General features: G+C 43.4%; 1 protein-coding gene and 1 long non-coding RNA gene across 10 annotated transcripts in view, besides 9 other annotated features; one reads left to right on the top strand and one right to left on the bottom strand.

Moving 5' to 3' along the window:
- Positions 1–742: an enhancer, noted in NCBI's record as "OCT4-NANOG-H3K27ac hESC enhancer chr5:98102871-98103612 (GRCh37/hg19 assembly coordinates)". NCBI's record gives its function as "activates a minimal SCP1, AML or CMV promoter by ChIP-STARR-seq in primed H9 embryonic stem cells {active_cell/tissue: H9 hESC(primed)}" and the evidence as "EXISTENCE:reporter gene assay evidence [ECO:0000049][PMID:30033119]".
- Positions 743–1,483: an enhancer, noted in NCBI's record as "OCT4-NANOG-H3K27ac hESC enhancer chr5:98103613-98104353 (GRCh37/hg19 assembly coordinates)". NCBI's record gives its function as "activates a minimal SCP1, AML or CMV promoter by ChIP-STARR-seq in primed H9 embryonic stem cells {active_cell/tissue: H9 hESC(primed)}" and the evidence as "EXISTENCE:reporter gene assay evidence [ECO:0000049][PMID:30033119]".
- The window catches only part of RGMB (repulsive guidance molecule BMP co-receptor b), a 27,863-nt gene continuing 3,899 nt past the window's right edge, over positions 1,466–25,429 (top strand). The window contains exons 1-5 of one of the 9 annotated variants that reach the window (XM_047417124.1): positions 2,270–2,459; positions 3,187–3,289; positions 3,432–3,507; positions 6,787–7,040; positions 12,414–12,922. In XM_047417124.1, coding sequence (XP_047273080.1) covers positions 2,451–2,459; positions 3,187–3,289; positions 3,432–3,507; positions 6,787–7,040; positions 12,414–12,922 — 951 coding nt within the window. In that variant the 5' untranslated portion in view covers positions 2,270–2,450. Of the gene's footprint in view, positions 1,697–2,269; positions 6,368–6,496; positions 8,037–12,413; positions 12,923–25,429 lie in introns of those variants that run through there. The other 8 variants (NM_001366510.1, NM_001366509.1, NM_001012761.3 and 5 more) reach the window with 8 other exon arrangements.
- RGMB-AS1 (RGMB antisense RNA 1) lies at positions 2,452–5,918 on the bottom strand. Its single transcript, NR_033932.1, is given in 2 exon segments — positions 2,452–4,018; positions 5,456–5,918. It is a non-coding gene; the product is annotated as an RGMB antisense RNA 1 (long non-coding RNA).
- Positions 3,195–3,695: an enhancer, noted in NCBI's record as "H3K27ac hESC enhancer chr5:98106065-98106565 (GRCh37/hg19 assembly coordinates)". NCBI's record gives its function as "activates a minimal SCP1, AML or CMV promoter by ChIP-STARR-seq in primed H9 embryonic stem cells {active_cell/tissue: H9 hESC(primed)}" and the evidence as "EXISTENCE:reporter gene assay evidence [ECO:0000049][PMID:30033119]".
- Positions 6,074–6,123: an enhancer, noted in NCBI's record as "active region_22835". NCBI's record gives its function as "activates an Ori minimal core promoter by ATAC-STARR-seq in GM12878 lymphoblastoid cells {active_cell/tissue: GM12878}" and the evidence as "EXISTENCE:reporter gene assay evidence [ECO:0000049][PMID:35858748]".
- Positions 6,344–6,973: a silencer, noted in NCBI's record as "silent region_16203". NCBI's record gives its function as "represses an Ori minimal core promoter by ATAC-STARR-seq in GM12878 lymphoblastoid cells {active_cell/tissue: GM12878}" and the evidence as "EXISTENCE:reporter gene assay evidence [ECO:0000049][PMID:35858748]".
- Positions 6,344–7,358: a biological region, named in NCBI's record as "H3K27ac hESC enhancer GRCh37_chr5:98109729-98110228".
- Positions 6,859–7,358: an enhancer, noted in NCBI's record as "H3K27ac hESC enhancer chr5:98109729-98110228 (GRCh37/hg19 assembly coordinates)". NCBI's record gives its function as "activates a minimal SCP1, AML or CMV promoter by ChIP-STARR-seq in primed H9 embryonic stem cells {active_cell/tissue: H9 hESC(primed)}" and the evidence as "EXISTENCE:reporter gene assay evidence [ECO:0000049][PMID:30033119]".
- Positions 7,614–7,733: an enhancer, noted in NCBI's record as "active region_22836". NCBI's record gives its function as "activates an Ori minimal core promoter by ATAC-STARR-seq in GM12878 lymphoblastoid cells {active_cell/tissue: GM12878}" and the evidence as "EXISTENCE:reporter gene assay evidence [ECO:0000049][PMID:35858748]".
- Positions 11,948–13,147: an enhancer, noted in NCBI's record as "MED14-independent group 3 enhancer chr5:98114818-98116017 (GRCh37/hg19 assembly coordinates)". NCBI's record gives its function as "activates an origin of replication core promoter dependent on BRD2, BRD4, P300/CBP and CDK7 cofactors, and independent of MED14, by STARR-seq in HCT116 cells {active_cell/tissue: HCT116}" and the evidence as "EXISTENCE:reporter gene assay evidence [ECO:0000049][PMID:35650434]".

The raw sequence follows: 25,429 nt of genomic DNA on the forward strand, positions 1-25,429 counted from the left end.
CAAGCTCAGAATATTTTGCCACCACTATTGTTTAAGGAAACTTTTTTTCCCAAAAAAGTATCCCAAAGGGATACTTAAGAATCCTCTTTAATAGATAACTTTTAACAGTGTGCATTGTATGAAAGCCAAGCCATTCTAAAATTCTGTTGTTGAAATTGAAGCAAGAGATTTGTAATTTAAAAGTTAGTGCTTCATTATGAGATTTTACCCTTTTTTGCCTTAGTTGCATAGAAAGTTCTCAGAAAACAGACAAGCTTACCCAGAGGGAGAACTAATGTTCAAGTTTCCAAAGTGGGTGGTGAATTGAAAATCATGAAAAATATTATGAAACTAAAGAAAAATTAAACGTATGATCTGATGAATGTATTTATGTGATGATTGACAAGTTAGCCTCTAGGTTCCACTGAGCAATATTTATGGGAAAGGAGTGGAGGAGACAGGGAATTCTGGCAGCTTGTGCCTGCTATTTATGTACCGTTCAGCTTAGCAGGAGAGGGACGAAGAACTGGGGCTGCATTAAAAAACATCCTCTGGGCTGGCTCACTGGGCTTGCTTTGAACTCTTGTTCATCATTATTTTATGCTGCAGCTTGTCTTTGTGTTGGTGGAAGGGAAAAGAAAAACACAAGAGACTAGCCTTTAGTTTCTAAATCAAAGCTGTGCTTTGCTGACTGCTGGAGTGGCTTTTCAAAAGCAAAACAAGTGGGGACATTAAAATTCCTTGCTTTTGTAAACCAGGAGCTGAGTTGGGGTTTTTTTTTTCTTCTTTTTAAATTCTCAGATGCAAAAGGGTATGTTTCAATGTGTCTTACATTTACCTTGAAACAATCTCAGTATGTTTTTTTCCATTTGACTGGCACTTGGAGAAGATAAAGCAAGGTGAAAAAAATACTAAGGAGGAACCTGCAGAGGTTTGGAGGAAGGGCGTTCATTGTCATCGAATTTAAGAAAGAGAAGGATATGTAAATTTTACTAATTAATGCCTCTTACACATCCTTTCTTGATAGTGACCCCAAGGTCCAAAGACGTTAAATCAGTTGCCTAAAGCCCAGACCCAGAAAGTCAGGACTAGACCTTCCTCTGTGGATTCCCACTCGTCCTCTTTACACTGCCCTATGCTGCCTCTAGCGTTAGCCGGAGAAACTGTAAGGAGGGGTTAGGGGAGGAGAAGGCAAAGAAAAGCTGGAGAGGGTCGTAGATTCTTGCCTAAGGAGGCAAGAAGTGACCTCCCTGAGTCAGGATACTTGAGCATTTGACTTGACTAAGAGAAGTAGCCCGCTAGTTCCAGGCGTTGAACGCGCCAATTAGCTGCCGCTGAGTATCTGGGATGTTTTTTGTTTGTTTGTTTTTCTACTTTGGAAGATCAATGTAAGGTAGAAAGTTAATCCCTTTCTTCTTGCCCTCCACGCCTTCCACGCTGATCGAAGCGACCGTCCTCCCTCGAACATTTCGTGGGCTCATTCTTTGTAACACACTTGCTCTGGGCCTTAGGTGTCTCTTTAAACCCTCTCTCCCCTCTTTATTTCCAAATCTTTATCTTTGGCTTTCTTAAGCTGTAAAGGCACACTGGCACCTTAGGTGGTCAGGTAAGATCGCTGGATTCCTTATTTCGGCGAAAGTCCAGCGGACCATTCCCGCCACTGTACCCATTTTAGAAACACTTGGAAGACCCTTAAGGATCATTTACGGAGAGAAAGGTGTGCATTCTGCGGCTGCCGGCGGGCAGCTAGAGAACGTGGCGGGGGGCAGCGCATCTGGCGCCTTGGCCGGGGCGCGGAGTGGGAACAGCCCGCACGCGTCCGCTGCCGCCCTGCCTGGCGACGAGTGGCACAATCGCCCACCAGGAATCGGCTGGTGCCGCGGGTGGGCGAAGGCAGCGCCGCCGGCCCGGAGGGCGGCGCGGAGGGTGGCGCTGGCGGCGTGAAAGGCGTCTTTGTGCAAGATTGAGTGTGGTGGGGGGAAGGCGAAGAGAGAACTGATCCAGGACCTGGACGCGGGGGTCTGCGGCGCCCCTACGCCCCCACGCCCCCAGCCGTCCGCAGTGCCGGAATGAGCCGGATAGCGCCGGCAGGGGGCAGTGTGGCGATATAGGGGTTGCCGGGGGGAGAGGAGGGTCTCTGTTCACCTCTATTTGAGGCTGACTGGGGAGAAAGCTGCCTGGAGGAAGCTGCTGGGGTGCGGGGGGCTGAGGGATTTGGCTCCCCGCCCTCTCCCCTAGATGGCGGAGAAATCGGGCTAGCTGGAAGGGCGCAGCTCCTCTCCCAGAGCTCATTCTGGAGTCGGAGAACTGGGAGAGCGGCCCCCGAGGCGGAGCCTCCCTCCCGCCCCGAGTCGCGCTGCCCCCCACCTGGGGGAGAGGGGCGGGCGCCGCGCTGCCTTCCCTCCGCGCCTCGGCCGCGTGGCTTGCGGCTTATTTTCCCAGCTGGCAAGCGTCGCGCTGCAGACAAGGGAATGCCTGTGGTGAGTTGTTTATTTTGTTGAAGTTTGCGGTGGGCCCGGGGGACGTGGGGGGCGAGCGGCAGGCAGCGGCCGGGACTGTTTTGTTTAGGTCTCCATCCACCTGTGGGGTATAAATCTGCCAGCCTCAAGGCGGCGGGGGACCGGAGTGAGAAAGCTCTGACGCTCCCAAAAGCCCCTTTTCGCAACTTACAGATCTAGGACCACATTTGATTCTCCACGCCTGGAACCGGCTAGATCCTAGTTTACGCTCACCCCGCCCTCCAGCCTCCCATCAACGCTTCCCGCACCCGCTGTGTGCAGGGCTGGCGCTCCGCAGAGCAAACAGCGCCCACGACCCAGGGACAGCTGGCCACCGAAGTCCCTCCCCGGCGCCCTTCCCCGTTCCTTGAGGATAGGGGAGCTGAGGTTTTCATGTGAAGGGCGCCCATGAAATTCGTGGGAACTTGTTCTGGCGTCTTCTGGAGTGGAGTTCTTTCAGGGGTTTCGGGTCTGCCCGGGACTACAAAATGGGATCCTGGGTTGGCTGGAGTTTCCCAGACTAGGCTGGAGAGAGGTCGGCTGTTGGCTCGCGGGAGAGCCCAGAGGAACCCCTTGGGCGATGGCAGTCAAGACCGGCGGCTGCGTTTGCCTGGAAGAAAAGCCTAAATACATTAGCGAGCTGGTAAAGCTTTTAAGGCCTTCTTGGGAGCGAGTGGCTGGCTAATGAGAGGTTAATTTTGTTTCGAAGGGAAGGCTGCACTGGTTTCCTGAGATAAATGGACAGGAAGCGCATTACCTCCGCGCGCTGGCAAGCGGCTCCCAAATGCTTTTTGCACCTGCCGTTTTGAGCGGTGAGAGCAGCGGCGGAGCCCGCAGGGATTGCGGGGGCCCGTTGTCTACGAGCGGGTGATGAGCCCCCCGCAAGCCCCGGGCTCTCTCCCTCCGCGAGTGCATTGCTCACGCCAAGCTTTGGGACTCTTCTCTCACACCCAGGTCCTGCGTGTTCCGAAGTTCAGGGGCCCCCTGATCCCGCTGAGCCCCCTCCAGGAGCGAAAGGGTTAAGAATGATGTAAGTACAGGCACTTGATTTCTCAAGTCGCCCGCTTGGCCCTCTTCCAAGTTGTACTTTCCTTATTTTCTCTCCTTTCCTTTCCTTACTGTTCTAACGCTTTTTAATAAACTTTCACTCTTGCTCTGAAAAAAAAAATGATGTAAGTACAAACCACGAGCTGCTTGACGCTGAGCTGTTGGACTCCGGGCTATTTCAGCCGCTGCTTTGGGTACACAGTGGCCGGGGAGCAGCCGGGGAGCCCTTACTCTAGAAAGGATTGCACAAATCGCAAGCTTAGGTGATCTGTTAAGCAGTCAGAGATTCTCCTGTTAGATTTCTGGAAATGGAGACATATTAACTGGAGAACAGTTAAAAACATCACGTATAGGCTCAGGAAATGAAACTGCATCTTGTTTAGAATCCATTAGTGTTTCTGGCATGTGTTTTAATTCTGTCCACTTGCACGTTCATGCCGTAGTATGCTTTGCTGGATTCTCCGGATGTACTGTTCAGGTCTCCTCCTTCCTTTCTGAAAACAAAGAGAAAGGGAGAAAGAGTACCAGTGGCAAGAAACAGGGTGGATGTGTGAATTACACAAGTCATCAGCCACTTCATGATTTTTTTTCTGATTAAAACATAAAACTTTTATAAGTCACCGATTTTTTTGTTTGTGTTCTAGCTCCCTCCCCGATTTTTCTTTGTACAATATAAAGTCGTTTGTAACTTGCAGCTCACGGGCTTGAGGAGTGGCTGCGGTATAAGCGACTATTCACTACGCTCTTGCTTTCCAAGCCAATTCCTGATCTTGTGAACAGTACGAATTTACCCGCGAGTGTGTCAACTGACCTATGTCTTGAAAATAGGAACCACCTTGCGGTTTACTTGTGAAAATTAGCATTTTCCTCTAGCGGCTGAACACTTATGCAGCAATAAAAAGTGAATTGTTAGGCTTATAAATCTCGAGCTTGTCAAATTTTACAACAGAGGAGCAATAAAGCACCTTATAGAGATGAAGTTTTTCCTCTGAAGAACAGTTCCGTTTAACGACACCAGGATTTGCAATGACTCGAGGACGCCCTCTATTGATAGGAAAATCTAGAGCACCCGTGTACTTATGGAACAGGATATAGGGGGAGGGGAGTAAAAAATCATAGAAAGTCACGAGTGGAAAGACCCAAACCAAACAGAAATTATTGATCCTTAACTATTGAGTATATGCTTTGAAGTATGATCAATAAAGTGAGATGCTGCTTTTATAGGGGTCGAATTAAATCTTGGGTTAAGAGAAAAAAATGTAGTCTTTGTTAGCCAAATACTTTGAAAATCAGTATTATGTTTGATTACTTTTTTAAGATGCTTCTTAGTATGTCATGAACTGTATCTAATTATATGAAGTAATTGCAAGATAGTAAATTTTTGCTCTAATAATACTTAGTCCGCAGCATTATCTAAAAATGTCATATAACTTCCTCCCCAAAAGTCATTTCTCCAGGCAACTGTGAAGCTATTATTAAGCGTATTATGGATATACACAGGCTTGGATTATATTGTGGATAGTGAAAGGTGTGTTTACCCCTTAAGTCATCATAGTATGTAACAAGTAAGTAATGAAAAGTTACAGTAAAAACAGATAGGCATCCTTCATTAGGGACCTAGTGGTTTGGGCAATTCAAAATGTGTCTAATAAGTGAGCTGGTGAGACTGAAGGTTTGCCCCTCAATTATCCTAGTCCATTGATTAGCTCATTTAAACATGTGTGGAATATCAGCATGTCCGTGGTTGATAAGAAATTCCTAATTAGAGATTCTGAGTAACATAGCGGGTACAGTTGCCAACTACGATTTGGATGTTAGTGGATTTTAAATGGCAACCCTGTGCTGTTTGGGGAAAGGCAAAGGCGAGGGCGGTATCAAGTGTCTCTCAGCCTTGAGGTCATTCTTGAGATTAGATACCACTTCACACCTACCGATAACAAATTGGAATCTATCATCAGTCTCATAACTGCTTTTCTGTCTCCACTTGGCAGCCTCTTTCTTTGTAGACAATTGTCTTTTTCCTCACTTTCGGACCCATCCGATCATAAAAGGAGAAAGTGAGCTGCCATTGAATTAATCCGTAGAAATTTGTGGAAAATTTAAATAATCTGTAGAAATTTGTGAAAAAGCCACTGAGCAACAACAAATCGTGGCATAATTACACTGCATAAAAACCCACCACTCTCATTAATTACACTGTAACCGAACGTTGAAGTTTGCCCACTCTTAGACCTCTCCTTGCCGCTTTCAGGAAGGGAAATGTCAAACTAGAACACCTGAGCCTCGCACAGCTGCCAGCGAATTCCGGCGGCAGTTCGCGGGTACCTTCCCAGCCCATCCTATCTGCTCCGGACCGCGGGTGACATTCAGATTTCCAACACCGCCCCGAGCTTGCTTTACCAGACACCCTCAAACGACTCGGAACGCGGTTCCGCAGATGTGATTGGCTGAAAGGGGACCTGCCGCGCGGCGCTCTGTAAAAGCGCCTGCTTCCTCCAAGGAGGTGGAGCTGAAGCTGGCAGGGCCAGGGCAGGGAGGGGTAATTAAATTAAAAAAAAAACTTGGAGGGAAGATGAATCGGATCACATTAATTCAAGGAGAGGTCAAAGGCCGGTACCTTTGTAACGCCGGCGAGAGTAAGACTTGCGGTCGCCCATTTCTGTTGGGCGCGAGGAAACAGTAAATCGCGGAAGGGGGTAGAGGGGGAAGGAAAGGGAGCGCGAGGCAGCATGCGGCGCAGGAGAGAGGACTTGGAGTCGATGGACAGGGAACTCGAATTACACTGAGCGGGCGGGGGAGAGGGCCCTCTGGGTCCTGCGATTGGCAGGCTGAGTCGGGCTGACGTGCGGTCACAACCAATGGGGAGGAAGGGAGGGACACGGCGGGGGATTATGGCGTCGTGGATTGGCGGGCACAGGGCGGGGCGGGACGGCAGTGCGGGACTGAGATTGATCGACCGCGGGGGCTGCCGCGCAGAGATATCCGGGCCGCCGGTGGGTGGTCGCTAGGGCTGGGCCAGCCTCTTGGAGGTCCACGCCCGCCGAGCCCACGCTGGCTGGGGCCGGGGTGCCGGCGCGCTCGGGACTCGTCTCAGCAGTCGCTCACGGTCTTTGTGTCTTCTCTTCCGCCCCTTTCCCTGCCTGCCGCCTCCGGCCGCCACGATGCCCCTGCGCCCCGCTGCTGCCGCCGCGGACTGGCTGCGCCGGCTGCGCGCTGCTTGCTGCGGCGGTGGTGGCGCCCCATCTGCTACACGGGCCTGAAGAAGGAAGAAGAGGAAGCGAAGCGCGCCCCCCGGCCCATGCCGCAGCCACGGGCCCAGACCCGCCACGGCGCCCGCGCCGCCGCCCTCGCCGGAGCCCACGAGACCTGCATGGACGGGCATGGGCTTGAGAGCAGCACCTTCCAGCGCCGCCGCTGCCGCCGCCGAGGTTGAGCAGCGCCGCAGCCCCGGGCTCTGCCCCCCGCCGCTGGAGCTGCTGCTGCTGCTGCTGTTCAGCCTCGGGCTGCTCCACGCAGGTAGGACGGGAGCGCGCGAGGGGAGCCAGCCCCGGGGCCTAGGGCTTTGTTCCCAAATAGCCCCAGGTCTCGAAGGCGCTCGCCGGGGCGGAAGGGCGGCGTGGCGCAACGGGAAAGGCCTCCCGAGCCCCTGACACGCACCTCTGTCGGGCTCCGGGCCACAGTAACGCAGCCACCCACCGGGCGGCCGCCGGGCGCAGAGACGAGCCTTCTCTCCACCCTCCCCGCCTTCGGCTCGGACCGCTGACAAATCTCCCCTCCGACAGCCGCTTATCAAACATTTAGCGGGCGGGGGCCGCGCGCCCGAGACAAATGTTCCGGATGCTTTATTGCTCTCTGCGCTGGTGTTTACTGAAAGTCAGGCTCGGATCAGGTTTCCGCCGTCGCAGCCGCCTCGGAGGGAGACAAGGAGCCTTGTGCTGCTTTTCTGGAGTTGGGGGTGGCGGCGAGGCGAAGGAAGTACACCAGATGGAAAGATTTTTACCAGATTTTGCAAACCTGGGAGTTAATCTCGAAGTAACGTCAACTTTTTTGAGCAGGGATTTCTTTCGTTTTGGCAAAAGCTGCGTTTGTTCAGCGATCAGCCTCCCGGGAAAAGCTCGTGTTTTGTGACTAGCCGGGTGTCTTCGGGCTCCGTGAGGGGTTGACAGATAACCATGCTGCCTTCTGGAGGTCGGCGCTTCCCCAGCCTTGAGGCGTATGTTCCAAGGGAAGTAAGCCTGCAAATGAGCCTTCTACCATGTGATACCTATTTTTCTTTTTAAAAAATCGTTTCATGAAAATCCAGGACGCTCTTCACACTATTTTTTTCTAGGAATTTGCCTAGACAAAGAATTTTTTTTAATGCTAAGGTTGAAAGGGTCATTTTCCTTTAGTCTTGAGAACAAACAGCATTAGATAAGTTTCTTTTCCTTCCAGACCTTTTTTGTCCTGTATATATGAGACACTTCACAACGTTCTGGTCTGGAGAATCCTGAACTTCGATGCCACCCAACTGTGCGGAGTAATTTTTACTTATTAAACCATACCCGCCATGCTAAAAATCAGGGAGGTCTTTTAAGTAATGGGGGGGAAAATGTGACATCTGAGGAGACTTAATTTACTTTGCGTAGCTTTGCATTATGATGTAATAGCTGCTTTTTAACACCGACAATTAGGGAAAAGACGGCTTAATAAAAAAGTGTAATAGAAAGTTTTAGGATGATTACGGCTTTCAATTAGTAACCTAAGAACCTTAGAAAATAGTGTCAATCTGCATGTAGTTACGTGGAAAATTTTTCTTGACATGTTAAAAGATATATTCAGGAGTGTTTGTGCGAAAAATATGTGTCCATAATACCAAAATGTAAGTTTCATGAAATGGAAATTGTGCTAGGTGGGATTGTGTCCCCCTTGGCTGCTTGGATATTGTTTCCCATAGTTGCCATAGGATCCTGTGACAGAATTGGAATGTGGTCCCTGAAGGTTTCTTTGCTAGCCCGTGAAAGGCATACTAAGTTGGCTTAAAGGTTTAGAAAAGTAGGGTGTCTTCGTTCAAGAATTTGGAATGTGAAGCTCCCAGTATCTTCATGTGTCCTCATTTAAGTCACCATTAGATTCAGCCCAACAATGTGGTAAGCGATTTCTATGGACAACTTGTTGGAGTGAAGCGATTAATCCTGTTAAAGAAAAGAACGCTCCTTTTGAGAGATTTCTTTGAAGAGTGGTGCTATTTAAATGCCCGGGTTGTTTCTCAGATAAGGGAACCCAGCAAGAGTGCCAGTGCTCTTTGCAGATGGACTACTATATGTTTTATGCCTGGATCCTTATCATCTGCCTCAGCACCCCATATGGCTCCACATTTCACTTAATTCAGCTTCAGAATACCTCATTTCTTTTATTATAAACTGGTGATTGTGCTGCAGATTCACACGTGTAGTCCTGGTGTTAAAGAAACTGTCTTGAATGGTGAGGTCTTTATGTCTGATTCATTCAAAAATGATGAAATGAAAGCTCTAGACCCACAAATGCTTTAGCATGTTCAGTAACTGGTGTGAAAATACTGTCACACTGATCACAGATAATCTGACCCAAAAATAGAGAAATCTGTAGCTGCAGAGTTTTAATTCTGCCCTTGGGGAATGAAAAGAGTATGAAAAGAGTACCTTTAGTTGCTTTATTTTATTTTATTTTTTTTAAGCAAACCTCTGCAATTCCTGAATAGAGATCCAATATGGGAGTTACTTGCTTACTCATACACTTCATGGCCTTCTTGGCTACATCCTTGAGATTGTTTCTGCTCCGCATTGTCTTGGCATTTTGACAGGAGGCTTACTTTACCGCCTATAACAGGCAAAGTGTGCGTTGTCGTTATAAATTCATGAAGCCTGGATATTTCTGGGTGTATGCTACAAATTAGTCATTATATAGAAGCCCACAAGGCAGCTGAAAATGCTGACCCAATCGCACTTTCTATTTAGCCCTCTTCGCTCCCATCATCTCTGTAGCAGAAGGCTGTTGGAAGCCTTAGCCAAAGCAAAAGAACCCCGGGAGATCTGTTTGATTTGAGATTTGTTTAAGCAGTCAGCACCTACCTGCTATGAAAGAGGGAAAGGTTTAGGCCGGGCGCTGTGGCTCACGCCTGTAATCCCAGCACTTTGGGAGACTGAGGCGGGCAGATCACCTGAGGTTGGGAGTTCAAGACCTGCCTGACCAACATGGAGAAACCCTGTCTCTACTAAAAATACAAAATTAGCCGGGTGTGGTGGCGCGTGCCTGTAATCCCAGCTACTAGGGAGGCTGAGGTAGGAGAATCGCTTGAACCTGGGAGGCGGAGGTTGCAGTGAGCCGAGATCGCGCCACTGCTCTCCAGCCTGGGCAACAAGAGCAAGACTCCGTCTCAAAAAAAAAAAAAAGGAAAGGAAAAGGTTTGGGGGGTTGCAAGGAAGGTATGAAAAGGGAGCTGGGAATCTAAATTCCACTTTTCTTTCCTTCTGAATGGTTCCATCTGCATTTCCATACTGTTCGTTTGATATTTTATGACTATTTGAAATAATTATAAAGAAACGTATGCTCGGATAGATTTTATAGACCATAAAAAGAACAAATAGGCACTGCAAGTTTAGCGGGAAGTTCTTGTGCTGTCATTTATCCGTAGTCTTAAGAGCTCTTCATTACTGAGACCTTGGCCCCATATTTATTTTCTTGCTTTCTGTGTATCTGATTTTAAAAGAAAAAAAATGCAATAGCTACTTAAGTCTTTTTTTCAGCCATCAAGTACTGTCATTGCAGTTAGGAAATAAGAGGAGACGTGACCTGTGATGGAAGAACAACAAGTTTTGAGGGAAGGCACCACATCCTGGCTTAATGATGCTAGCTGTTTTATGATTCTGCCAGAACAAGCCCTTTAATATCCCTTTGCCTTGGATTTCCCATCTGCAAAATGGCTTTAACGCCTTTTGGAGTTGTTTAGTTGGTTAATTTCTGTTTTGGTTTGATTTGAGTTCTAGTGAAAAATAGCTGAAAATTATTTGATCTGCTTTGGAAAGAGAAATTCAGTAAATACTGGAGCTACTTTTGTCAGCTTTGGAATGAGCAAACATAAAGTAGATTCCACACAAAGATGTTTTTGTAACTTTTTTTTTGAAAGTATGATTTGATGATTGCTGTAAATCCATAGCTCCAACATATTAAAATGTTTTAATCTTTGACTCAGGTTAAAGTGAATACCAAGCCTAGACTATATAGTATTTTCCCCTTTTTGACCCAAACACACTTTCTCTGTATTTAGCCCTCTTCCCTCCCATCATCTCTGTAGCAAAATGCTGTTGGAAGCCTTAGCCAAAGCAGAAGAACCCAAGAAGATTTGAAATTTAAAATTTAAAATTTAAAATTTTGCAAATTTAAAAGTGGTGACAGAGTTGTCTTCAGAAGTTGTCTTCTCCCACCTGTTTCTCCCAGCCAAAGCCAGAAACAGAGCTTACAAGCTACTAAATTCAGATTTAAGAGCAGTTTACTAGTGAAAATGTTAAAATAGCTTTCTAAGACAATATTAGGCTAAATTTTAAGTCTTTATCAGATGGAGTTCCCTAAATCTTGATATCATCCTGAAGTTTATTGCATCCACATCTTGAAATAATTATATATTTAATAATAATCTACTGGCCCTGAATTTTTTCCCCCATCCAGAATACAAATCATAAGATATTTACTGTCTGGAAAAGAATACAAAGTTCGTCTTAGAATAGCTTCCTCATTTCTCAGATGAGGACCCTCACATTTAAAGAGATTAAGAGACGTCTCCATAGTTTAAAGACCTATAAAGATTTTATGTAACACAAATAATGTGTTACAGTTCATTTATATAAAATTTGCAGTTGATGACAAAGAACAGTGTCTCTTTTCACTAAGTCTGTTGTTTCCATTTTATGGAACAGAATATTAAATTATTTGGGGACACACAACTGACCTAGTATTGGTAGTTTTTGTGCTTTAGGAGATTTTATAAATTTTTGTTTGAGAAACTAGTGGTAAAAAGCATCATTTGGAAATTGATTTTTTTAAAACTAATAGGGCAGTGATACTTTGGTTTTTCATAATGTTTATATGAATTGTTTTTATTTAGTGTGCTTTTACTTGTGATCTGCTTGGGAGCTAGGATCCTAGGGTAATGGAGATAGACAGTAAGGAAAAAGTAAATATATAGCTTGGTCAAGTGAATCTTGTTTTTTTTTTTCTTAGAGCATTTACATTTTGTAGAAATTAGGAAATTGTGTCAGTTTATTTACAGTTTCTTGGTAAACGTGCCTCAGGAGAAGTAGAATGACAGTACCTGGATTTTTTTTTTTCTTATTCTGTAGCCATACAGGTAAATCAAGTAAAGGTGTTTTAACTAATTATACTATAATTTAGGATTTTACACCTTCCTGAAGTGGGGAGGTTTTAACCATGGTTTTGTGCCTAGTGCTGCTTTTCCAATGCTTTCTGAAGGAAGTTATGCAATTTTGGAAAATCAAAACAATGTTCATGTTTTTGGCGTAACCTTAGAGTAATCTTTTTCAAAACCTATGAACAAATAGCAACATTTATAAAATATTTTATTTACTATTCCCTTGTAATCTCAACCTGTGATCACTGGACTAGACTCATGTTCACTCACAGTGGCTCATGCTTTAAAGTTGTAAGTTAACTAATTGCATGCAGTTTTTCTTCCAGTGGCTTAGTTTGAGAAAGACACAGGAACACAATGAAACCCTGTATCTGAAGGCTTCTTAAAATAGGAGTACAGTGTATAAAATAGAACAAACAATTCCCAAAGAACAATGTGATTTTCTCATGTAGCTCAGGAAGTTATGAAGAGTTTACAAATGTTTGGTCTTATCTTCTTTCCCATAGGTGACTGCCAACAGCCAGCCCAATGTCGAATCCAGAAATGCACCACGGACTTCGTGTCCCTGACTTCTCACCTGAACTCTGCCGTTGACGGCTTTGACTCTGAGTTTTGCAAGGCCTTGCGTGCCTATGCTGGCTGCACCCAGCGAACTTCAAAAGCCTGCCGTGGCAACCTGGTATACCATTCTGCCGTGTTGGGTATCAGTGACCTCATGAGCCAGAGGAATTGTTCCAAGGATGGACCCACATCCTCTACCAACCCCGAAGTGACCCATGATCCTTGCAACTATCACAGCCACGCTGGAGCCAGGGAACACAGGAGAGGGGACCAGAACCCTCCCAGTTACCTTTTTTGTGGCTTGTTTGGAGATCCTCACCTCAGAACTTTCAAGGATAACTTCCAAACATGCAAAGTAGAAGGGGCCTGGCCACTCATAGATAATAATTATCTTTCAGTTCAAGTGACAAACGTACCTGTGGTCCCTGGATCCAGTGCTACTGCTACAAATAAGGCAAGTATACCTTCTTTTTTCCCTCTCCCTACTCAACTTTCAAAAGATGTTTGATTCTTCAGATAACTTTTGAAATGTGCTATAAAGGGCCTAGTTTAAAAGGAACTTCTTTTGAAAAGCAATTAACAGTTGATAAAGGGTTAAATAAAAATTATCTAGTAAGGAATTTCTTATTGGAATGTAAACGTGGTTCTAATTTTAAATAGACAGTGATATAAAGAATAAAAAGTAAACAGTGAAATTGAGTTCTCCAGGGAAAAGGCAGACCTGTTTAGTAAAAAAAGGATGCTTTTTTCAGTGATGTCTTTTTTTGAGTGCATATGTGTGTGACTCTTGAAGAAATCCATGTTCAGATTTATCAGATGATTGAAGTGGGTGTTCTGAATAAAGAAAGCTGTGAGGCCTGAGGCAGTGACGTATCAGGAAACATATTTTATTGGAGATTTGGAAGCTATAGTAAAACATAATGGCAATAAGCCAACTTCCCAGTGGTAAACCCACAGTGGTGGTTTAGTTACTAACCTCTTGATGACCGAGGAGGTTAATAATTGGATATTGCAGAGCAGCAATATGTAACCTGTGTGTAATCTCAGGGCCTCAGGTTAACAGTTTCAGTCAGAAGCTAAGAGAAACACTGACAAAATTTAGCTTACCATGACTAGCTGCCAGTTTATGTGGTCTGTGTTCGTTTGTTTTAAAGAAACTAATACTGTACAGAGATCTTTGACACCAACTTCAAGGCACCAGTGTTTAGTGCAAGCAGGTAGAGAGGACCTATGAACTAGGTTTCTAATTGGCAGTCAGTGCTAATTCAGCCATTAGTAAGTAAAGTCACTTTTCCACTAAAATAGTGTCCCGACTAACCACCTCCTTCCGTGTCTTTTCCAACCACAAAACCACACACATAGACCATCTCATCTTACTTTATTTCTTGCATTTATTGTATCCAAAAAAATTGGTTTAGTTTTTTAATGTAATTGACAAGACTCAAGCTTTTGAAATACTTACGACTGTTCTCTTGATTCCAGGACACCCTCCCCTGTGTCTAAACATGTGTGGTATACTTTTTAAATAAATTAAAGCTTATTTTACTTGGCATTTTGTGGAGGGAATTTTACAACACCTCGGGAGATATCTGCAGACACCCTGGGGTGTCACAAATTTAAGACTAGAAGTCATTGCCCTAATCAAAGACGACTGTTACACTGGTCTAGACATCTTAGGGGAACTCCAAAATGTTTATACTTCAACTCTCAGTAAAAGCTCAAGCTTGTCTTTTGCCTTACCAAATTCCATATCTCAAAATAAACTTTTCTCCCTCTGGTTTTTGTATGTACTCAAATCATTTTTTTATAAATATCTCAGAATATGTATTTGCTATAAATTATATATAAAGTTATAGAATTATGAAGTTATAAGAGAAACGATGGCCCCAAATCCATCATTACTGCAGAGTCATATGGCACATGAAAGCTGGGAATAGTCTTTGGGTAACTGAAAGAAGGCAGTCCATTGAGAATGGAAAAAGTCATCAATTGTGCAAATAATTGAGGACTTGGCAGAGTGACCTTCGAACAAAACTATAGAGATTAATCAGAGCTTGTAAATGGGGAAATACTCATTCTCTTCACAAGAAGCAGTATTCAAATTTTATTCTTCATGCCTTCCATCCGGTCATGTCACTTCTGTTATTCAGTCTTTCAGAATTCTATTGTTACTGATTATGGTGAAAATATGTGGGGGATAACCTTATGAATATTGCTATATATATGGAACAGTTTACACTGAAGTATTTAAGATCATTTTATTTCAGTTGAATTCTGTTGTAATTTTTAGCAAATAAATAAAAAGGACAATCTTGTTTTCTCCCTCAGTTTGGAATAAGGATCAAAGGTTTTACCCATTCAAAAAAAGTTGGAGAAAGTGGTCCTCTGACATAAATTCAAGTAGATGATGAGAATGCTTGGTCTTTAATTGCACTATTGGAAGGTATTTTCCCACATCTGGTGACCATGCTGTTCAGCAGCAAACTATTCTGTAGCCTCACTTCACAACCTCTAGGAGTTGTTGGGTTTGGTTCCCCATCCCCCTTCTCTTTGTAACTCTCTCCAAAGCCCCATAAGCATCTGGAAGGTTGCTCTTGAAGACCTGTCTCAATACTAGTATGACGTGTGCTGGTGAAACCAAAGAAAGGCCTAAATCTTACAATACGTTCCTTTTACCCAGCCAGGACCAAAATAAAACCTTTAAAAACCTTCAGCACAAAAAAGTGGTGGTGATAAAAATAAAAACAATAAGAGGCATAAAAGTGCTTATAAAATAAGTTCTAAACAAGATCTGAAATTTTCCCTTAATGTCTACCACCATACTTTCTTTAAAAAATCTTTTGAAAAATTTTTTCATGGAAATCCCAGCTTTACTGAGAATTTAAGCAAGTGCATAGACCAGTTGTTGGGTAACCTAGTACTGTGCCTTGTAGATACCAGATCATCCTTGTGTGGTCAAGTGTTTTTAATAACCCACGTGCTCAGTGCCACTAGATTGAAAGACTGATGTCATTGGCTAGCTGGCCAGCTGTGATACTGAAATTTTCGGAAACATCCATTCATTTCGCTCCCTTTAACACTGCACTGAAGCACTAGACCCCAGGGTATTTTGCTCAATGAGGCTACTAAGACAGCTTCTCAGTCCTGGGAACCTGGCCTCTTGAGCAAGCCGTCTTCAAGCCCAACTTTGTGAGCTCTGCCTGTTCCTAGGTACCCCCCTTTTCCTTATCACAAAAAGACAAAGTGGGGGAAAAATCTAAACACCATAGAATGAAATGAAGTCACCCGGGGCCATATATTAGCTAAGCCTTTTCTTTTTCTCTACATGGCAAGCAGTGAGTTCAAGGCAGACATGCCTGCGGTGCTTAATGATGTTGCCTCATCTCCCCTGGTCTACTGTTTTCTTCCCCACCATGGCCCTCTCCTCCCCTTCCTTGGGAAAGGTAGGGTTTGTTTTCCTGTTGGTCATGGTGTGCACAGGTATGCTTTCTCAAGGCCTCTGTGTTTTTAGTTTTGCCCTGTGCCTGCCTCCCTCTCTTTGGAGGAACCTGTGCCAGTTGGCTACCTTGCCAGGTAGATGTGTTTCTGAAGGGGAAGCCAGGGCTGGTTTTTCATCTCTCCACCCCGGGGGCTGCAGGGGTGTCTGGCACACACACATACCTCGGCTGACATCCACATCAGCTCTGGGCCATCTTCCCCACCTTTGGCTGTGAGAGGCGGCTACAGGCATGTAGGCACTCAGAATGAGATGAGAGGGACAGGCTCTGAACTGGCAGAGTTAGCTACACTGAGAAGAAAGGCAGGTTTTGTTTTGCAGGAGGAAGTAGCCCACCCTTCACAGGCTCCAGAGAGGGCACATGTCAGTAGTTGTCCTGTGCCTCACACACTCAAGATAAACCAGATGATCTGTTTTGAGGATGCTTGACTTCTTCCATGTTATTTTTGCCAACCTCTCAGTCTCAACTCTTGTTCATTCATTCTGTGGATCTTTATATCTCTGTTTAAGTGGGTTCAATAAGAATCTGTATATGCCATGATCACAGAAGGTGATTGGGGAATAAATTTTTTTATGAAAGATTCTGCACTTTGCAAATGTATTCCCAATAGCATATATTAAAATTGCCAGTCTCCAGGGAATTCAAAAGTATTCCTTTTTCAAAAACAATTCTGAAATTCATTTATTATTAAGTTGCATACCTAAACAAACAATGGAAATGTTTTTAGTAATTATTTTTGTACAAGTAGTTTGAATGCCTTCATTTTATTTTTCCTTTTGTTTTAATGTGGTTGTATCCTTTTTCACCACTCTTGCTTTCTTATTCTATCCTTCCACCTCAGTAACACAAAATAAAAAGTAGGAGTGGAGACTGGGGATGACAACAGGTCCTACTGCAGATCTTCTGCTACACATTTTACTGTGCCTCACCCTTGAGTGAGAGAAGGTAGTTTACCTTAAGGCGTTTGAATTTGGGAAAGGGCTGTGCTCATCGTACTTGACCAAGCAAGATGACTGTTAGGCAGATGGACAGATGCTCTGAGGTGCCTATCTTGTACGTTTTTGGTGCTGCCAACGGCCACCAGCTCCTGGCAATCCTATGGGCAGCACTCATCGCCTGTCCAAAGCATAGTAGCATACCCATCATGCATTATGGATAGTCTAAATTCCATACTTACCCCTGAATTTCAAATTCTGTAGCTACTTTCTTGGGAATTCTTGAAAATTTCCGCTGGTTGAAGATACTAGAGATGTAGAAAGACTTAGTTTGGTTTGCTTTTGGTTAATGTCTTCTTCAAACTCTGTAACCTACAGTTTTCCATTGTAAGAAACACCATTACCTTGTAGGCTCCTAGAGCATGAGGTAGGTCTGCTTTCTGGTGCCCCTTAGCAGGGAGTTATTGTTCTACAACAGCATGTGGGCATGTAAACCAGTGTTCTGGGTCATTCTTTGTTGGTTACAAAATCAGAACCAGACATGCCTGCATTGCAACAGCTTTCAGTTGTCATTTTAAGTATATCTCTGCATAAGGTTTGGAAATCTGTTCTCTGTTGACCCCAGACCTAGTACATTTATTGTAGCTAAGTTTTTGCAACCCATTATGTTTTTAGCATCTTTATGGAAACCATGTGAGCTACATAGTGTTTATCATTATTTTTCTGGACTAAGGGATATGGTTCTTCCATTGATAGGTCTGTGTTTTGAATCTATGGACACTGTTCTTGCATGCAGTGTTATAAAGAGGGGGACGCATGGTATTTGTGGGGGAAAAATAGACCATTTTCCCTCCACAAGGAAACTGCAACTCTCTTGGTGATACATTGTAACTAATTCTTATAATCTGAGATCGCTCTTTATTTTTGTTACAATTACATTGTTGCATGGGTAATTCTTGGCATCTCTTTGAGATTTGCTCCTTATTGTGACCCTCCTTGCTTTATGAAGATGCTAAGAAGTTCTGACTGGTTGAGGCATATTGGGAACAGATGGAAAGGATTTTGCAGTTACACCTCCCTGCTTAATGTAATTATTTCCCTGATAATCATTCTCTGATAAATGTATGGTTAATTTGGTGCTGCATTTGAAACAGAAGGTACTAAAGGGCCCACTGTGGGAGATGTAGAGGTGAATGCAGCCTTTGCCTCAATCTAAGCACATAACTAAAATTTGCAGCAGTTGGTGGGAAAGCACGGGGTTTGTGTGTAAACCCAGCATTTTCAGGGTTCTTTTCACATTGACAAGCTGGTTCCAATTGATGTTATTCATTTAGCAAGTTGGCAGGGGTGTCAAGAAGAGCCAGAAGAGTGGGCTGCTACAAAGGCCTGTCCCACGCTAACACCCCTCCTTGCCAAATCATTGTCTTTACTCCCGGGATTTGGCACAGTCTCTTTCCACCTCCCACAGTAAGAATGCTCACCTGCATCTGTATTTCCTCATCTGCATACAACCTAGCAGGGCCTAGAACCCTGGCTCCCACTTTTGAAAGACTGCTGATCTTTGATGTTATACCAAAAAGCTTTCTAGAATTTGACTGTCATAGTCGCCAGTTCTTAATTAAATTCATTTTCCAGAGCCTCATCTCATCTTTAAAATTCTCATAAAAGCATATGTTAGCTATTTTTACCTCCCTGAATTTTTTTATTATAGAAACAATATTGAAACATTAAAAGCCAGGTTTTCAAAAGAGCAGAAATCAGCTGTAGTTCCAGGTGGCAGTCTAATTATTTGTCCTTTTCTATTTATCATGCAGCTGTTGTGCATACTGGATTATAAGATCTTAGGCCCAGGAAGTACTCAACTTTGCTTTATATCATTTCAGTAAATTGCCTGGAGGTGAAAAGGTTTCCAAGTGGATGTGGGGAAAGGAAGCAGAGAAAAATGGGGAAATTGCTAGCTGTGTAATGAACCTATGTCTGAAAAATCATTTTGTAAGATAAATGAGCTACCTGTTTATTCTTTATGCTATACTTTTCAAAGAAGATTTGCCTTTGTTTCATTCATACACATTAAAAATTCTGGGTAATGAGTCTTTTACCATCTTTCTAATCTCCCTGACTGTGCCACTCCTTCTGTCCCAGATGTGGTTTGGAAGGAGGAAGAGACCTTCAGAATGCCCCCCATTTGTAAGTGAAATTAACCCAGCGCCTGTCCCTGTGTGAGCCAGGCAAGATTCCGTGAGGGTGCTATGGGGCTCTGCTGCTTTAAAACAAATCCACACTCTTCCATAGTTTAAACCAGAGGCATGAGGCCAAGTCTGATACACAGCTGAGAGTTAGAACTTGTTTTTCTGTCACATTTCCAAATGTCTGCCTGGTTAAATTTTCTTTGAGTCAACATTTTGAGGGGAAGGGGTGAGAAGGAAGCATTGGATGTTTGGTCCTTTTTTTGTTGGCTTCTATTAATGCTAACCAGTTTCTGCTCGTGTGGAATGTGGCATATAAAAAGTTACCTACATTGTTGAACAATGAAAACTGCTACCTTATCCATTTTGTTTTTATTTGTTTTGACTGCAGTAGAACTTGCTCTTCCACTGTTTCGAATTTTGTGTTCTTGTGGGTGGGGTAACTTAAGGACTTTTCATACTGACAAGGAAGCTGGCCAACTTGTCAGTAAGTAATAAAAGAAAAGCTAACATACATCTAAGTTACAGACTTTAACTGGACAGCCTTGCAGTGAAATCACAGTGCTATTGGGTCTAGAAAGAAGTTTAGGTGAAACTGGTTCTATGGAGAGAGGAGTTTTTTATGCCCCAGTTAACTGTTTACTTTAAGAGTTGGAGCCAAAAGAACATGGGGGTTCTTTCATGTTGGGACACAGCATGTATACTGTGAATAGGATGATATGACACCATCTAAAACTCACTTCTCATCTGCTCTGCATGTGCTCCTGAAATGGGGGTCAGTTTCCATTTAAGACATGTGTGTGCATGCACAGATGTACATGCATGTGCTTTTACATGGTATCGAGGTCTTCCCCTCACCCTACCAAGGAAAATGCAGACATAAAGATATTGTTTTGTAGGATTTCGGTTAACTCACTTCTTGAAATGCATGGTAACCATTCTAACCACTTCATTCCTGAGTTCTCATGGGTCTTTTCTTTTTCAGAGTGTGAGTGTATTGTGAAGATCTTCAAGCCCTTTTACTTTTTTTGCTCACCTCCCAAAGCTGAAAAATGATCAAAGAGCCTGTGGTTTTCTAATCCCATCGGTTTGGAGAACAGCTGTGCTGAACCTAGGCCCAGAGCAGGGCCTCGGGTCTGTAGTCCTGCCACCTCTCTCTACCAGGAGAGGGAATGCCTGAAGGGAAGACCTGCTAGGACAGATTCGGCTGAGAGTTACTGCCACCAGCCCTGGCTCTCACCTTTCAGAATATTTTTAGCCTCTAGTCTGAAGCAAGGTGGCAGCCTAGGCCTATAATACTGTCCACACAGGCCTGCCTTCATATCTGGGCATATAGTGAGTTCCTACACTTGCTGGCCTCCTCACAATGTGGAGTCCGAACACAACAGACAAGCTAAGGGAGAGGTTCCATTTGGAGATTTTGGAGTGACCAAGACTTACAGGACAAAGGCCTTTCCTCATGCTCACCCTAATACAAGGAAGTTGGCGAATTTGCCTGTCTCTGTGGCTATTTATGCTTCCAGCATTCACTGTCTTAATTGTACAGAAATTACTCTTGGGAAGCAGCATTTTTGTGCCTGTTCCTTTTATGTGTCTTCCTGGGCCAGCTTCCCTTTCATTCTCGTTTTAGCCACTGAGCTTGATGCTGCTTCTCTAGACCACCCTAGCTGCCTTCAGCTCTGCGTGTCCTTCCCCTCTGGTTTGGTTTCTTCATTCTCTATCTGCTGCCAAGTACCCCTTCAGCAGCCAAGGCAGCCCCTGTTTTTGCATGTATTTATTACCTACGGCAACACTGAAGAATAAGTTTGGTCCATTCCATTTCTCTGGATCCTGTAAGTGCTCCAAGCTCTGTGGAAAAAGACATGAGGATAGAGAAACTGATACCTCTTTTTAAGGTAGCTGATTTTTTAGTCTCATTCAAGCCCTAAAAGGAGTCCACAGTATGAGTTTTAATCTGCCACTCACCTCGTAAACACAGGTACTGTCTTACTGTTAGTATCTTGTCCTAGTCCAATAAAATTGTTTAACAAAATGTATTTTTGTGGATCTTAAGTTGAGCTTCCTGTAGATATTTGTTTTATAAGATATTTGATATGTAGGCTGAGTGGTGATTGTAAAATTACATCCCAGTTCATTGAGTTCATAGCTTCCTAACAGTTTTTTTCATAATTTTTAAAGGAAAATTATCAATGACATCAAGTATTTTCTAGTCCATTATTTTTTCTTAAATATGGCATATATAAAAACTCTCCTGGGTTTTGCATGAAATTGTTCAGAAAGAGTTATTCTAAATCAATATACCTCTTTTCCCCCCTCGAGAGAGAGACAGAGTTCTCCCCAGTTTTTATGTAACCAGGGGACAGTTGCCACCCCGCGTGGACAGAGTACCTCTGCTCTGGCCAAAATCCACACTTCAGAATTACCCTGGCGGGTAGGGAGGAGTGGGACCAGGGAAGACACTTGAAGGAAGGTGCTTTCAAAGGCCTCTACTTCCTTTAGGTGCTTCAGAGCATCCTAGTCTCTGACTTCGTAACATTTAGAAAAATTGACCCTTGGAAGTAAAATTTGGGTTTTTTAGGAATGGAGAGAGAGCATGTATATGTTTTTCTCCTTTGAAACATGTGCTCTTGTTGGAATGGTTTCTTTTTTGTTCACTGGGGAAGACTGTAGAGGCTGCATGCTGTTAACCATGTGTTAAGAGTAAAAGGGGCTGTGAGCACCGTGGGCTTATTCTCCCTTAGAGTCTTCTATTTTTCAACCTATCATTGCACCCAGATGATATGGCAAAGTAGACACATCAGCTAATTATATGAAATAAAATTCATCGACTTCTTTGACACTGCAGAATTTTAACCAGGTGCATATCAAAATTATGTTTTCATGTGTTTCAAGCTAGTTTCTGTGCCTCTTCAGTTTAGTTTACTGACCAGTCTAGAGTCCAGAGATGAGAGCTCCTAAAGTCTGGCTCTCATGTTTTGAGGATTCCAGAAAAGTCCTACACTCACAGTGCCAAATGGCCTGATTAAACACAGATAAATGTTTCTTCCAAAATATATTACGCACAAGTAGTCAAGGTGCACAGCCATTTGAGAAGTCTGCTGTTTTAAAACCTGTTTGTGGCATTTTGCAAGGCTGCTGTGCTTTGGATAGATATCTCTGTACCTCTTGGCGAGGCAGTACCTGTGTATTTCCCTCTTTGTTGGCTACCTAATTTTCATTTAATATGTTTTTTTTTTTTCTCCCGGTGGAAAGGAGAGGCAGGTGCCTCTTAAAATTATTTCACAGCAAACCTTCGTAAGTTCTTATTGCCTATTTCATGTAGAAAGGTTGATTTGTAGCTGCTGTCTTTCTCTTCCTAATAAACCTTGTGGGTGGTGAAGATCTAGGAGAGTGAAACATTAAAAATGAATGAAGAGAACTGAAGTAGTTTGTCTAAGGTGGGGGTTGAGAGGGGCTGGGTGGAGGAGGTTTAACAAAAGGCATTGATGTTTTAAATGCACAGAAATGCCATCTATCAATAATAAATGGTGTGGCATAGAACAGATGTGCCAAATTGAGTTATGACAGCATATATATTAGTTCATAGAGGGGAAAAGTAAGTAGCATAGCTAACGTTTTTAAATTATCTGTGAGCTTTTGAAATACAATTTTATGTATTCAGTTTTTACTTTCTAGTGGCTGCTAGCTGGAAATATTAAAAGTTTGGTGTTTTTTAAAATTCCAATTAAATTGTGCTTGTTTCTAAAGTAAGAATTAAGAATGAATAAATTTTGCTTTTCTGAAGAGGAAGACAGTCTGAAATGAATTTCTTGCCCTTCATTGGCTGAGTACTTGCCTTTTAAAAGCTCATGTTGTAATTGTTATGAGGAATGAAAGTGCATTATAAAACTTAAGTCATGTGAAACTATTACCCAGTGTTTTCTAAATTTACATTGATTATATCTCTAGGTACCTGCTCAGTGCATATTTAAACTACAAGGGACTACTCAGGAAACCCACTCATGCTTTACAATCAATTCACCCCCCTCAGCATTTTGATTCAAGGGATAATTCTACACATATGCTCTGTGTGAGAATTACCTTGCTTGGTTGGGAAACAACAAGAGAAATATCCACTTGTCTCACAGCAAATCACTACTAGTAAATTGGAAAGACAAATCTTTTAGGTTAACTAGGATATTTTGTAGGTGTAGATACTAGAGCAGAAAACAAGTTTTGAGCTTCTAGATAGGTAGGAGTTATTGTTAATGTCACTGGCATAGCAGAGGACAATACTGTGGGAGGTGTTTGAAATGAATCCTGAGTTCCTGAGTTGGAATTGGTGTGCTTAATGAAAAAAACAGCCGTGGTGAGACATATGGAACCATTCCACTCATCTCAATATGGACCCTTGCTTGCTTTTTGGAAACTTGTTTGGAATCGGTTATCTTTGCTTTGTTGGCCCAACACAAGTAAATCCTCTTTGTTTTTCCTAAGGTGAACAAAAAAGTAGTTCTTGCAGATAATATCAAGTTGGTTTAAATTTTAGGTTTGTTAGACTAGAAAGACGAATTATTTAGCCGTCATTGAAGAGTTTAATCTTTGAGTAGATGTTACAGGTGAAAATGAGCATAGTGATTATATAAAAAGTCTATTACTAACTCTTATTTTAGCCATCTGTATTGTTGACTTTCAACTTTTTCAGGTGCAAAATTTTCTTGAATCAATCTTTTCATCTCCAAGGGATCCCAGCATGCCTTAAAAAAAAACACTTGTCAACGGATTTTAGAGCCACCAAATAAATCTATTTTATGGTCCCGTTAGATATCTAGCTCAAAACCCCCATTCACTCTGAAAGGTCCTATGGTTGGATGCACAACAAATTTCCTGAAATCATCTCTGATGCACCTCCTTTGGGTTGTTAAGAAGGTGTTGAAATGTGAGAAGGCTGGTAGTGAAATCAAGTTGTGGCTCAGGGTAATTAGGAAGGGAGAAAACCCAGCATTTTCATAGTACATTGTCTGGCTTTTAGTTGCAGCTGCACACAGCGGATATGAATTTAACCGGTTGCTACAGTGCAGCTGGTTCAGATCTGGCTTTATAACTGGCTGAAGTAAAATGAAATGGCTGGAAAATTCCAGTCAAGTAACACCAGTGGGAACAAGTGGAATTAAATAGTGTGAGCAAATGCTGGCCGAGTTGGAGAAAAACTTAAGACATAAACTTGAGGGTGGTGGTGAGGACTTCGGGTGGGCAGGCGGGGGGAGGGGGGTGCATTTTCTGGTCTTTTTCACAAGGGTCTATTGTTTCGATTAGTTTCCTTGCAGGAGGTAGAAGGTTTCCTCCATCCCGAGTAATTCATAGAGTGTTTGGCTTGTCTACCTTCCTCCTGACTGAAGTCACCTGATACTTTTTGTTTTTTCAAGAAGGAAGAGAGAACCCTGTTGCCTCAGTTACTAGCAATGATACAATTCTCAAAATCTGGTCTTTTTTTGTTTCTTTGAAATAGTTTCTCCATGTTGTGTGACACAGCAGCCCCTGTCTTATCATAGTTGTCTTCCCTCCACCACCTGTACCAGAGATGTTGGATATGTTGGAGGTGAAGGTGTGCAAGGTTTTTAACTAACTGTTCTAATTAAAGGATTCTGCAGGAAAGAACATGGGTTTACAAAAGAGAAGCTTTTGTATTATTAGTAATTTTTTTTCTTTGATGAATTTATGTGCTTAGTTTGGAGAATCGAGAGTTGGCTGGGAAAAGATTTCTGAGGAGTTAAGGGACTCTGGTGCTGTTTGGGAAAACATTTGCTGTAACTAGGTTTAGGGTATTCAGTCTCTGCCAGTGCTTAGGAGCTATATTTGCCAGGTGATTTCCCTGTCGCAGGGATTAGCCAGTGATGTGAAACATTTGATTAAGGGACTAATAGAAATCTTTCCTGGGGTACATGAGTGGTGGCTGTTACTGGGGTGCCCCCTCCTCAACTCTTTCTCTCTGTATTTCGAGTAAGTTTGTAGTGGTGAGTCATGGGATACAGTTTTTTAATCCTATGAAGAATCTTGGTAGGAAGCAAAGTTCTGTTAGGTATATTGTTAATTAAGCCCTTTAAAGTTTCTGCATAATAACTCAGAAACGAGCCTTTTTCTTTTCTCAGAACTATGCCATGACTCATCCACTTTGGAAGCAGACAAGATATAAATTATCAATAAAAATTGCCCATAATCTGGCCTGGCACAGTGGCTCATGCCTGTAATCCCAGCACTTTGGGAGATGATGGTGGGAGGATCGCTTGAGGCCAGGAGTTCAAGACCAGCCTGGGCAACGTAGTGAGGAACCCCCGACCTCCACCATCCCCCCCGCCCCCCACCA

The sequence above is a fragment of the Homo sapiens genome, chromosome 5, assembly GCF_000001405.40.
Source record: "Homo sapiens chromosome 5, GRCh38.p14 Primary Assembly".
Classification (NCBI taxonomy): Eukaryota; Metazoa; Chordata; class Mammalia; order Primates; family Hominidae; genus Homo; species Homo sapiens.